Source organism: Homo sapiens, chromosome 7 (assembly GCF_000001405.40).
Source record: "Homo sapiens chromosome 7, GRCh38.p14 Primary Assembly".
Taxonomy (NCBI): Eukaryota; Metazoa; Chordata; class Mammalia; order Primates; family Hominidae; genus Homo; species Homo sapiens.
This window is the reverse complement of record NC_000007.14, coordinates 77,754,823-77,769,173: the sequence shown is the minus strand read 5'-3', so window position 1 is coordinate 77,769,173 and position 14,351 is coordinate 77,754,823. Positions and strand designations below refer to the sequence as shown.

Genomic DNA, 14,351 nt, shown 5'->3' with positions numbered 1-14,351 from the left:
TATCATTTTTATCCAATCCAGAACACAGCAGGGCTTTCCATTTGTTCTGATCTTACTTTATATCCTCCACAAAACATTTTAGTCTTCTTAGTATAGGTTCTGAATATTACATTTATTCTAAAATAGTTTATATCTTATGACATTTTTTCCATCCATCATTACAATTTCTTGTCATTTGCCTACATTTCTCATGCTTTATTTACATTTTAGGTTTTATAACAAATTGTATTAGCATGTATCGCTATTTTTAAATTTATATTCCAATTATGCTCTAAACTTTGCATTCCTCCTTCCTCCAATTTTCAACTAACATACACACCCCAACATACAAACACTCATCCCCTCCAATAAAAATGTGTATACAACATACCTTTTCCTTTTGAAAGGTGACTTTGGCATATCAGCCACAGGGATCATTTGTTCTCCTGGACGAACCCACATGATGGGACCATCATCACTATCTTTTCGACTCTGTAATTTTAGACTAGATAGCGTCCCCCATGGCAGTGTACACTGGAGATAAATAATTATGCAGATTGCAATTATTTTCAAAATGTATCTTCAAGTGTATGTTAATAATAATATTGTTCCCCTGACAAACACACTTTCATACACAGCTTTATACTTAAGCATCTGAAATACATAATATTGAATATATCCCTATATATTGATATACTTTGCTTCAAAAAACTGTTTCAAACACACCAAGAAAATAATTATGCTTGGATGGTTCTGTCCCTATACCCTGCTAGAGGTATGATTCACTATATTCATCATTTGTTATTCTTCCTTCTACCATATAGATCATATGATGTTAACGGACTAAATAAGCAAGTGCTCTCATAAGAATCTATAAAAATGAACAATTAAATTTAAGTTTAAAAACTGGATACCTCTTTGATTAATGATAATTAAAAACAAAACAAAACAAAATCAAAACATATTTCTGTTCAGCAGTTTCTTGAAGAGGTTGTTGGCTTAAACCAGAGACTAAAGTATTTTAAAATGAAAGAACAAGGCTGGGCGCGCAGTGGCTCACGCCTGTAATCCGAGCACTTTGGGAGGCCGAGGCGGGCGGATCACAAGGTCAAGATATCAAGATATCGAGACCGTCCTGGCCAGCACGGTGAAACCCCGTCTCTACAAAATACAAAAATTAGCTGGGCATGGTGGCGCGCACCTGTAGTCCCAGCTACTCAGGAGGTTGAGGCAGGAGAATCGCTTGAACCTCGGAGGCGGAGGTTGCAGTGAGCCGAAATCACGCCACTGCACTCCAGCCTGGTGACAGAACGAGACTCCAAAGAATGAAAGGAGAGGGAGGGGGGAGGGAGAAGGGGGGAGGGAGAAGGGGGGAGGGGGCAGAGGAAGGGAAGGGGGAGGGAGAAGGGGGAGGGGGGAGAGGAGGGGAAGGGGGAGGGAAAAAGGGGGGAGGGGAGGGGAGGGGAGGCGAGGCGAGAGACAGAGGTGAAGGGGAAGGGGAAGAGAAAAGAGAAGACGGTGGCCGGGCACGGTGGCTCAGGCCTGTAATCCCAACACTTCAGGAGGCTGAGGCAGGCAGATCACCTGAGCTCAGGAGTTTGAGACCAGACTGGGCAACATGGAGAAACCTCATCTCTACTAAAGATACAAAAAATTAGCCTAGCATGGTAGTGTGTGTCTGTAATCCCAGCTACTCGAAAGGCTGAGGCATGAGAATTGCTTGAACCTGAGAGGCAGAGGTTGCAGTGAGCCGAGATCGCACCACTGCCCTCCAGCCTGGATGACACAGCGAGACTCCATCTGAAACCAAAAACAAACAAACAAAAAAAGACAGAGAGAGGGAAGAAGGAAACTGAGGGCCACTGTCCATGGAATGTTGAGAACAAAATTAAAAAAAAAAAAAATTTCACCACACACCCCCTTTTCAAAAAGGCTTGTCAAATTTCTTTAGAAACAATGCATTTAGGTTGGGTGTGGGTGGCTCACGTCTGTAATCACAGCACTTTGGGAGGCTGAAGCAGGAGGACTGCTTGAGCCCAGGACTTCAAAGCTAGCCTGGGCAACATAGCAGGACCCCATCGAAAGAAAGGAAGGGAAAGGGAAAGGGAAGGGGAAGGGGAAGGGAAGGGGAAAGGGAAGGGGAAGGGGAAGGGAAGGGGAAAGGGAAGGGGAAGGGGAAGGAAAGGAAAGGAGAAATAATGCATTTAGTTCATGTGCTTTGAAAATTAAACTTGAAGCAACCATTTAAGTAATATTTGGTAATTTTTAAATATAGTCCAATAATAAATGCAACCTAATTCCATGATGTAACTACTAGAGAGAAGTAGAAAAGGAACAAAAAGTTTAAAAGGAAAAGAGAAAAAGGAATGGAACAAGGTTAAAGAGAAAGGGAAGAAAAAGATATATGTACATATAGGGTAAAAACACCAAGCAAACAGAAGTAATAAAAGAAGAGATGTCCTATAGATTATGTGGTATCAGAAATCTTGTCACATTCCACAGCTTACCTGGACCCTGAATTTCAGTGTAGGTTTGCAGCATTGACCTTTGAGTTACTGATTAAATAATTAACCTAACCACACAGCTCAGAGATTCCTCTCTCAGTGGGATAGCCCTAGCACCTCACAATAAGAAATACTTTTTGAAAATCAAGAGGCTTTAAAAAAAAAAAAAAGGAATCTGGCTACAAACTATTTAAAGGGGCCTGTGGTGGTGGGCACAGTGGCTCACACCTGTAATCCCAGCACTTTGGAAGGCCAAGACAGGAGGATCACTTGAGTCCAAGAGTTCAAGACCAGCCTGAGCAACATGGTGAAACCCCATTTCCACAAAAAATACAAAAGTTAGCTGGGCATGATGGCATGTGCCTGTAATCCGAGGTACTTGGGAGGCTGACGTGGGAGGATCATCCAAGCCCACGGAGGTCAGGGCTCCACATTACACCACTACACTCCAGCCTGGGCAGAGAGTGAGGCTGTCTCAAAAAAATAAATTAAATAGAGGGGCCTTTGGCTACATTGTCTAAACATGTTATTTTATGGATGATGAAACTGAAGCCCAGAAAGTTTAAAGGGCTTGCCCAACCCAGATAAGTACAGCCATGGCTAAAATATGGGTGTGTAATTTCCCAGGCGAGTTTTCCTGGAATTTAGTTTAGGAATGCTAAACTGCCATTCCTTTGTCTTAAACATTTGTAGTAGAATCCTTCCTGTACTTCTTAAGTCCTTTAGTACTTAGTTTACAAAGAGCTGATAAACACATGGAACCTAATTTCCTAAAGTGTTAAGAGGTGTTATTTCATGGCCCACCACTTAGCTTTGCCATTACAATTAGAACCTGAGATGTCGCATGTACACACTACACAAGAATTATGTCAGTTTCCCATCTCTTGCTCTCCTTCCCTCCAGTTCAAATAAAACCAAAACGTTTCTATTTCTGAAACAGCCATTCATTTATATTGCATGTAGCATGAAAGAAACAATCACAATTTAGATTACTCATATTGGTTTTTCTTCCCTTTTTTAAAAAAAAAACTCTAATCCCATGACAGATTGTCTCTTACTTTTAAAAATGGTGACTCTTCCAACATGTCAAGGAACTCAGGGAAATAATCTCCTACTTCTTCATCAACTGCTCCCACCAAGCTTATTTGTCTCATTGGGCCAGCTCTGTAAGTACCATGAGAATACGTTCTTTTTACCTGAAGAAACATGGATTTAATTAAAAGTTAAATACGTTCTTTTTACCTGAAGAATATGGATTTAATTAAAAGTTACACATAAGATAATGCTTGCTATCATTTTGTAGCAATAAATTATTATCTCAGAATATTATATCATAATGAGGCAAGCAAAACAAAACTTTACTAACAGTAACAGATAAGGCATTTTAAAAATAAAACTTGCACTAAATCAAGCTATTTTACTTTCTCTAACTATTCCTACACACTGCTTATGAAAACAGAGTTAAGACAAATAAGCATTAATTCTAGACAACTAACATCTCCTTAGAACAGAGGAACTCATTATCTGAGTATTCAAAAGTTGGTGTACCTGCATTTTTCTAAAGTGAAATGAAGTTCATATCTTTTCATCAACATTTTCAAAATTAGACCCTCTGAAAACATTTAACCATCAACAGTGGCTTATATGACTAAAAGGCCACCAGGGATGCTCTTCTTTTTTGATCTTACCATATTAACTAGAAACCAGTTTATATACCTATTATTAACTCTCATGAGAAACTACTAGAAATTAAGAATCACAGCCGGGCGCAGTGGCTCACACCTGTAATCCCAGCACTTTGGGAGGCCAAGGCAGGCGGATCATGAGGTCAGGAGATCAAGACCATCCTGGCCAACATGGTGAAACCCCGTCTCTACTAATAATACAAAAAAATCAGCCGAGTGTGGTGGCCGGCGCGCGCCTGTAGTCCCAGCTACTTGGGAGGCTGAGGCAGGAGAATGGCGTGAACCTGGGTGGCGGAGCTTGCAATGAGCCGAGATTGTGCCACTGCACTCCAGCCTGGGCGACAGAGCGAGACTATGTCTCAAAAAAAAAAAAAGAAAGAAAGAAATTAAGAATCAGGAATCCTAAAATCCAAATCTGCCTTTGCTATCTACCAGTTACATGACCTTCAGAAATCATTTGCGTTCCTTGAGCTGTGGTTTCCTTAACTGGAATGTTTTACAGCAGATTGCTGAAGAAAATTTGATAATGATATAAACTCACCTGCCATAATGCTAGCAAATGGGTGGCATTCAAAGAGCCAAAACAAAGCCATGTGCACCTCAAGATTGATTGGTAACTACATTTCTTGCCAGCATATTTAAATCCTGACAAAGAAACCTATGTGTTTTCATATACTAACACTAGTAAACAAGCTGAGTCTGTCTTCAAGCGAAACAACTCGTTTTGATAACCAAATTATAAGCAAAACTGTAATTGTCTCTTTCTCTGGATTAGCCTTTGTGGACAACAAATTTAGGAGACCAATTTGTCCCAGTTTGCCCAGGACTATCAGTCTTAAAACTGAAAGTCTTGTATTTCAGGCAAACATGGATGGTCAACTTTTATCACATCACAGACACAGATTATAAAAGATAGTCACATCAAAAGTTGAATCCTTACAATCATAGCTGGTAAGAGTATCACAACGTAACAAAGTAAACCCCAACCCACATGTTTTCATACAAAATCATTTAAGGAAGAGAATCTCATTTGTTATTATAATCAGCAAAGCAGTTTAATAATGACATTAATTCTTTAATAAATTCACCAGATTTCTAAGCCTAAATTTTCCTAAACTGTTACAAATTGACTTCTCAGAACCACAAACCATTCCTACAAGTTAGAAAATTAAGGGCCTGTAAGCCCAGCACTTTGAGAAGTGGGAGGATATCTCCAGCCTGGCAGGTCCAGGCTGCAGTGAGCTGTCATCAGGCCACTGCACTCCAGCCTGGGCAACAGAGCGAGATCCTGTCTCAAAAAAACAAACAAATATAAGAACAGCTGGGGCTTATGCCCCCATTGTATGCTCATTGTCTCATCTTTTTCCTGTCGCCTAAAAATTCCTATCATCTCCAATATCAAGAGAGCTAACAGTTAAAGCCTAACTCTACAACAGTCTTCAGGCTCTAGATGCATTAATAGCAGCACAGTAAGAAATTCAGTCTATGCACCTCTGTAATGCAGTCTATCAAAGAAGCTAAGGGTATCAATCTCAACTCTAGCACATTTACCAGAATAGAACACATCAAGTCTGTTAAGTGATTCTGAGATTCTGAGTTTTGTGTCTGCAAATGACCATAAGGGGTTTTGAGAGACGATAACCATTTAGAAAGTGAAATCAAACAACTGATATTGTAAAACACAAATTTTCCAAGTGCTTTGAAATATATCTAAAAAGTCAAATTAGAGTTAGGGGTGGTGACACGAAACTGTAATCCCAGCTACCCAGAAGGCAGAGGCAAGAGGATCACTTGAGCCCAGGAGTTCAAGATCTGCCTGAGCAACACAGCGAGACCAAAAAAAAAAAAAAAAAAAAGTCAAATTATATATATTTCCACCTCATACAAATAAGTACATTTTCTGTGCATAAATTTCCTTATCTTGTTTAAATTAGATACCTACAACATTTAGTTCTAACAAAGCCATAATCAAGTCCTTGCCACTGAGTTGGTTCATTCTATGACATCACAGTACCAACAATGATCACCTAAATAATTTGGGCAGTTTATCTTGTGCGGAGGGGATGACTGTTAGGAAAGAATTTTCATTAAGTGAATTCTTCTAAAATACGAAGCACAACTAAACTTTCAATTTATCTAGTAGTTTTAAAAAGTCATATTATACATGAAATAAAACCAAAAAACTATAACATTATTAAATTATAGAGAGTAGGAGATAATATAATAATCAGAAAACCGGAACCAATTGTTAACACAGTCCTTGTAGAGTAAAATTTATGTATTTAAATGTGAGTAAAAACATGTATCATTGAGTAACAGGAAAAAATTGGGTAAAACTTGGGTGGTAATATTACAGACACATCATATGTTGTGTCATGACTCAAGAACTTTATTTACTAATTTTGCTTTGACCAGATGTTGCTATTTCAGGTTAGAATAATTATTTCATTGACTGAAGAAGTATTACTGACCTAGCCATCTCATTTCTTTCAAATTATACATTTACATTAATTTCCAAGTTTACAAATAATGCTTTTTATTTCAAAATAAAACAAAACACGTCTAAATTAGTATAGACCTAAACATTAAAATGTTTAACATAATAGACTGAATAAATCAAAAACCGATTTTTCCCCCATTCTCTGTCTAGTTTGGGCACTACCTAAGAAGAGGCTTTATCTTTTGCTGATTATTTTTAAGTATGGTCCTATTAAAATTCATAACTATTTCAAAGGATTTTTTAGAGACCCTGAATTTTTAAAGTAAAGTAATACAGACTCTACTCCGATTATATTGCTAAATATCTTAATTGAATTTTTAGTTAGTTCTTCCCACCTCATGCCAAAATACATATAAAACATATAGATATGTAAAATTCACTTTCACACATAACTTATTATAACAAAAGTATAAGTCTCTCCCTTGTAACCAGAATGTACAGGTAGATGCCATTTGCCCACTAATAAAACCAAAAATAAATCCTATTAGGAAATTGGCCTTTATAAAAACTGCTTAGCTCTCACATGTTTAAAACAAAACGGCAATGATCTTCCAAAACCTTTATTCTCCAACAGTAAAGATAAAATGATGATCACCCACCTGAATAAACATATTTAAACTTAGACCAAATTTAAAAAATTAAATTGAAGTCATCAAAATCTTAATCTGTAAAAGTATTAAATTTTAAAATATATTGTAATATAACCTTTAACTATATATCATTTCATACAAATTTCTAGTTTAATAACACAATATTTCAAATCCATCAGTTGTAACCATTAACTTAAATGTTATAAACATGGCAAGTTACACACAACAATGTTTCCAATTTAAAAAGTATATACTGCTTGATAAAATACATGATGGTACTTAAGTTGTTAAAATAAAATGTAAGAATAAAATCCACACGCTTTTCACAAAAATGTAAATACTTCTTGATTTTGGTGACACCTCTTTTGTTGCAAAACTATATACCAAATATGCAGAATTCACCTATTACAAAAAAATCAAGCCTCATTTCTCTAAAAATCACCTATCCAGACTATGCCAGACTGCGAAGAACTCAAGGGCGGTGAGGTGGAAGAGGTAACAGATAAGGATTAAAAGAATCTCTAAATAATCACAGTAAATGTCACAAAGACCATGGCTCATAAAAGTTCTTCTTCTTACCTATCAGTTCCTATATTAGGCACAATCGTAACTACTCTCTAAAATCATAAAGGACAAGAAACCACATATTTAGAAGGGGAAGGAAGGAAAAAGGGTAAGCACAGCTGCAGCTGCCCTAAGGCATCAGTATTGTATCATAATGACAAACCAATACTGAAAATAAAGTGACATTATGTTGCATATGTTCAGCAATGAAGATATTTTTATAAAATCTTAATACTTAAAACTACGTTTCCATTAACTAAAAAAATAGCCTATCTGGAAAACCTCACATCCTGATGACGCTCAATGTGAGCTTACTATATTTGCTTTTATTCACTCCAGTAAACATTAATCAAACCAGTTTTCTGGTGTAGTTAAAAAATTAACCTGAAAAAAAGTCAAAACATGTCACTGCTTTAAAATATACGCCAGGCGTCACGCCTGTAATCCCAGCATTTTGGGAGGCCAAGGCGGGAGGATCATTTGAGATCAAGAGTTTGATACCAGCCTGGCCAACATGACAAAACCCCGTCTCTACTAAAAATACAAAAATTAGCCAGGCATGGTGGCAGGTGCCTGTAATCCCAGCTACTCAGGAGGCTGAGTGAGGCACGAGAATGCTTGAACCCAGGAGGCGGAGGTTGCAGCCAGCGAGATCGCACCACTGCACTCCAGCCTGGGTGATAAAAGTGAAACTCAGTCTCAAAAAATAAGTTAACTAAATAAAAAATAATAATAGAATATACTTGCTTTCTAAAAAAAGAAATGCACTGAATTACAAAGATTATACATATAGTTCCTCTTGATTTAGGTATATAGATGTGTCAGAACACAATAAAAGACAGGCATGATAATTATGTATTTGTGGAAAAGCTTATATTTAAATAGTGGCCTTCAGAAGAAATATAACATATTTAATCTAAATCTCCTCCCCCTCCCCACAAAACCCCATGACCATCATGGCCACATTTTCACTTTTCCCCTTGTATATTCTCTATAAATATTATGAAGGGAAAAAAGAAAGCAGAAGTAGGAGACCTATTGTACCCATTGCCAGTAAGTGTCAATACCAAAATCTGAGAAGCTTTGGTTAACATAAAATGAAATAATTGTTTAAACTAATATTCGACTTATATAATGTAATCTTTAAAAAAAACACTTTAGGATTCTGAGGTGGGCTTGCTACAAAGGGAAAAAAGTAGCCTATTCTTAACAGGAAATATGTTGCCAAAAACAAATCTATAAGATTTTTTACTTATTGCTGTTTTCTCTTATGTAATTACGAAAACTGCTGCAAGGGGGAAAAGGCAAATATAGTAATAACAAGTAATTTTTTAAAAAACCCCAAAGAACGACTCACTTGAAACAACCTGCTGTTTCCCAAAACATGTTCCCTGAAGAGAGAGCTCTACAGTCCACTAAGTTTGGAAAACCCTTCTTGTTTAGGAGGCTCACCACGCACACTGGCTATTAAAGTTTCTGAGGAGTCTCACTGCAAACAAATATTACTTATTTGGTCCAGCATTACACTATTTTGGACTTCAAAACCTGTTTTTTTTGTACTTGTTTTAGTATACCTATCAACATTCCAAGATATTAAAAGTTCCTCAGAATACCTTCATAGTGATCCACCATAAATATGGAGATACAGATATTTTTAGCTTGTATCAGCACCAATGTGAAGAAAATACAAAAACAGGATCATTATTAGAGCCAAAGAATTGAGGGGGGTGGGAGCAGAAGCTGTTGATTCAATTCTGCTGAGGTTTTTTTTAGCGGGTGGGGAGGAGAGTCCCTTATTTTTAAAAACAAGGCCTGCTCAGGACATTCTGAGGCAATCTAAACATGTCATAAATGACTGTGCCACAAGGGGGAGCCATTATCCATCACTTCTGGCAGATGGTTTCTAATCAAAATAGGCAATATTTAACCAACATTTTATTTCAAAAATACCCATATAACGGCAACTAAAATAAGAACGAAAGTATTATCCATTTTAAAATTAGTAAAATAAAGGGGGAAAGCTTTTTGATTATTATTAGAGCATCTGGTCCCTGACACGATATTTTGTATAGATCAGTTCTTAAGTATTTGGGGAGCATGGGGCAGGCACAATTGGTCAAAATGAAAATTTAGTACAAAGGCAAGCAATGTTTCAAAGATGAAACATCAAATTGCTTTTAGTAGCCTAACACAGTGAATGGCCCCAGCACAAATTCAACAAATGCTAGTGTTCTGCCCCAACTCTACAGTGAAGCAGGTCTAACAGTCAGATCAGATTTAATAAGTTTCATTATTAAAATAATAGACTTTTAATCATCAGTTAACACTTTGACATAAGTTACCTGAGAAATAACTTAGAACCACAATACAATAAAAATAAGATTTAGAGTTTGGAAGTGGAGGAAGGGTGGTTAGAAAACAACTACTCCAGTTTTCACATTCTCACAGTTCTTAGTACAGGGTTCCAGAGTATGTACACTGATTAAACATAGTGACAAGACAGAAATCTAATTTATTTCTTGACAGAGAAAATTCCTATTTTATTTGCCTTTTTCTATCCCTACGGTAGAACACAGGAGCACAATAAATGTCTGAGTGAATATTTGAATGAAATACAGATGCTAGAAAACCTAAAACGAACGTGGTCAACTGCAAATGGCCCCAAATTCTTCCCAGGCCTGTATGCTCACTCCTGTGCAATGTGATTTTGCCACTCCTGTCATCAAGAAGTGGAGTCTATTAATGCGCACACACAAAAAAAGAAAGAATGAATAAAGCCTACGATTTCACTGCACAACAGGGTGACTATAGTCAGTAATAATTGCACATTTTAACTAAAAGAGTGTTGTTAACTGGATTGTTTGTAACTCAAAGGATAAATGCTTGTGGAGATGGACACCTCATTCTCCATGATGCACTTATTTCATATTGCATGCTTGTATCAAGACATCTTATGTACCCCATAAATATATACATCTACTATGTACCCACAAATATTAAAAATTTAAAGGATTTTTTAAATAGGCCGAGCACTTTGGGAGGCCAAGGTGGCACATGCCTAATCCCAGCTATTTGGGTGACTGAGGCACAAGAATCACTTGAACCTGGGAAGTTGCAGTGAGCCGAGATCGCACCACTGCACTCCATCCTGGACAATGACCTGTTAAAATATATATAATTCACAACTTCTACCATCATATAAGAAAATACAAAACACATATAACATTACTATATATACTCTTTTATCGATTAAAAACAGTGCTACTTAATTACCTAGAGGATAGCATTATCATGAATTTCTTTCTTTTTTTTTGAGATGGAGTCTCACTCTGTCGTCCAGGCTGGAGTACAGTGAGACTCTGTCACAAGAAAAAAAATTAAAGTAAAATGAATAAATAACCTAAAAGAAGTGGAGTCTATTTTTCCACACGAATCTGGGTTTCACCATGTGACTTCCCTTTGTCAATGGGACATTAGCAAACACAACACAAGCAGAAGCTTGTACACTGGGGCTTACCCTCTTTCTACTCAATGGAACCCTGTAACCACCACCATGCAAATGAGCCCAGGCTAACCTGTGGGATGATGAGAAAAATGTGGCCATCAACCCAGCTAACATACATCAACCACCAACCATATAAGTGAGGTGTCCCAAGACCCAACTGGTCTGCCAATCATCAGACATAAGAATGAAGCCATATAGCCCCAGCTAAGTTAGCAGAGACCACAAGAACTGTCCAGCAAGCCCAAAGAACTGTGATAAATGAAACCTTTTTTCAAGTCACTAAGTTTTGAGGCTTTTGTTTATACATTTAATACAGCAAAAGCTAACAGATATGGACAGGTTACAAACTTTGGGAAAAGTCCATGCATATGTTTCTATCCTCAAACGGACTTTCATGATACAGTTTCCTAATATATCACTAACCTCAGGGCCACAGCATTAGAGAAATGACATGACCTGTTAAAATATATATAATACCACATGGTCTTCAAACCTTTCAGGCAACCTGCAAGGATACAGATGAAGATGGAAAACAGAATTATACAAGTAAAAAGAATTCCAAAACCGAAGACAAAAGAACAGGGATGTTTTAATCCTTTGTCAGTGTTGTGTATATGTGTTTAATAAAGTTGAACAGATGTAAAAATGAGTATTTGTGAAAGCTACAAGATACTATTACAGAGATAAACACTATCACTACAAAAATCATAGAAACAGCTACATAATTTGTCATCTTTTAGTTTCTACAGAATTTAAAGCAAATTATTTTGGTTGCCCTGATTGTAATTTAAGAACAATAACAAAAACAGAAAACTAGGCTCATGAGGATACAAATTCATCATGAACTTGGTTTGGGTTCCACAGCTATTGGTGGTCAGTACCATCAGGTTGCACAACCTAGGGACTGCCATTCACATCACTGAATGGCTGCAGTGCGCAGCTTCTATCATTATATAAGAAAATACAAAACACATATAGCATTACTATATATACTCTTTTATCGATTAAAAATGGTGCTACTTAATTACCTAGAGGATGGCATTACCATGAATTTCTTCCTTTTCTTTTGAGACGGAGTCTCACTCTGTCGTCCAGGCTGGAAGTACAGTGGCGCAATCTCGGCTCACTGCACCCTCCGCCTCCTGGATTCAAGCGATTCTCCTGCCTCAGCCTCCCGAGTAGCTGGGACTACAGGCGCCCACCACCATGCCCAGCTAATTTTTGTATTTTTTTTATTAGAAACGGAGTTTCACCATATTGGCCAGGCTGGTCTGGAACTCCTGACCTTGTGATCCGCCCAGCTCAGCCTCCCAAAGTGCTGGGATTACAGGCATGAGCCACCACACCCAGCTATAAATGTCTTTAATGCTGCTAAATGTATTTTCCAAACTATATTATATTCTAAAAAATAAAGGTCAGGCCGGGGTGGCTCATGCCTGTAAACCCAAGACTTTGGGAGGCCGAGGCAGGTAGATCACCTGAAGTCAGGAGTTCAAGACCAGCCTGGGCAACATGGTGAAACCCCATCTCTACTGAAAACACAAAAAATTAGCCAGGTGTGGTGGTACGCGTCTGCAGTCCCAGCTACTCAGGAAGTTGAGGCAGGAGAACCGCTTGAACCCGGGAGACAGAGGTTTCAGTGAACTGAGATCATGCCACTACACTCCAGCCTGGATGACAGAGCTAGACTCTGTCTCAAAAAAAAAATAAAAAAATAAAAGTCAGATTTGCACCATTTTTCTCTATCATCTTCACTCTACTCTGTCTTCCCACATTTTTCTAGATCTTTTGAATACTGCTTTTGGACTAGTTTTAACTAGATCAAAGATTTTTCAGAATATAAAAGGCAGAAAAGGGAATTGAAGGATAGTTACTGAATTACAAAGATGTCAGGTACAGAACTTTTCTCTACAGTTCTGCTTTCCTCTGCTCTGTAGAAAGCATTATCATCTCATAACAAGAGCAGGTTCTACTGAACTGAACCTAGTGAACTTAGTCAAGATGGTCCCCAACTCAGAAGGTTCAACTCATAATTTTTTGACTTTATTACGGGTTTATCAGGTTGAAACTTCATAGTTAGGTCAAGCGGCATCAGGACTTAAGATGGTTCAGCTTACTTACAATTTTTTTTTTCAGTGGGCTTATCAGAGGTTGTTTGTTTTTTGTTTTTGTTTTGTTTTTGAGACAAGTCTCACTCTGTCACCCAAGCTAGAGTGCAATGGCGCGATCTCGGTTCACTGCAACCTCCGCCTCCAGGGCTCAAGTGATTCTTCCTGCCTCAGCCTCCCGAGAAGCTGGGATTACAGGTGCCCACCACCATGCCCAGCTAATTTTTGTATTTTTAGTAGAGACGGAGTTTCACCATGTTAGCCAGGCTGGTCTCTTAACTCCTGACCTCAGGTGATCCGACTGCCTCGGCCTCCCACAGTGCTGAGATTACAGGGGTGAGCCACCACGCCCAGCTGCTTATCAGAGTTTTAAATGCATTTTCAACTTAAAAATATTTTTGACTTACAGGTTTATTAGGATGCAGCCCTAGCGTAAGTTGAGGAGCAGCTGAAGTTACTGAGGAATCATCATGACCAAATCAACAAGTTTGATTCCTGAGCAAACACTTTAACATTAATTTGGCTTTATTATCCACAATTTGTTTTTGCTGTGGTTTATATTAAGTAAAACTACATTCCAATATTGGTACCTCTGCTCTTCCTTCCCCTAGAATACTGACTCACATTAGCTCAATTAATGTCGTCTCAACCAATTCTTTTGGTGAAAGCAATTTCACACAGCAGTATGTAGGCTGATCCACTTGACACCACCAAAATATACAGTTTCACTATATTTTGTGAATATATATATAGTGAATAGATATTCACTATATTCTAATAACAAGCATTCATTAATGGAAAACTAGTTTTTTCTAAATTTCATAAAACCTAATTACTAAACTTTTGTTTTTGTTTTTTGGGGTTTTCTTTGAGACAGGATCTCACTCTGCTGCCCAGGCTGGAGTGCAGTGCTGTG

General features: G+C 37.8%; 1 protein-coding gene across 1 annotated transcript in view, besides 1 other annotated feature; it reads right to left on the bottom strand.

Annotated features, from left to right (window-relative positions):
- Nucleotides 1-14,351, bottom strand: part of RSBN1L (round spermatid basic protein 1 like) — an 86,564-nt gene that overhangs the window by 13,849 nt on the left and 58,364 nt on the right. Inside the window, exons 4-5 of the mRNA NM_198467.3 lie at nt 3,542-3,679; nt 371-513 (exon numbers count right to left, since the gene is read on the bottom strand). Coding sequence (NP_940869.2) covers nt 371-513; nt 3,542-3,679 — 281 coding nt within the window. The remainder of the gene's footprint in view (nt 1-370; nt 514-3,541; nt 3,680-14,351) is intronic.
- Nucleotides 4,411-4,911: an enhancer, noted in NCBI's record as "H3K4me1 hESC enhancer chr7:77393580-77394080 (GRCh37/hg19 assembly coordinates)". NCBI's record gives its function as "activates a minimal SCP1, AML or CMV promoter by ChIP-STARR-seq in naive H9 embryonic stem cells {active_cell/tissue: H9 hESC(naive)}" and the evidence as "EXISTENCE:reporter gene assay evidence [ECO:0000049][PMID:30033119]".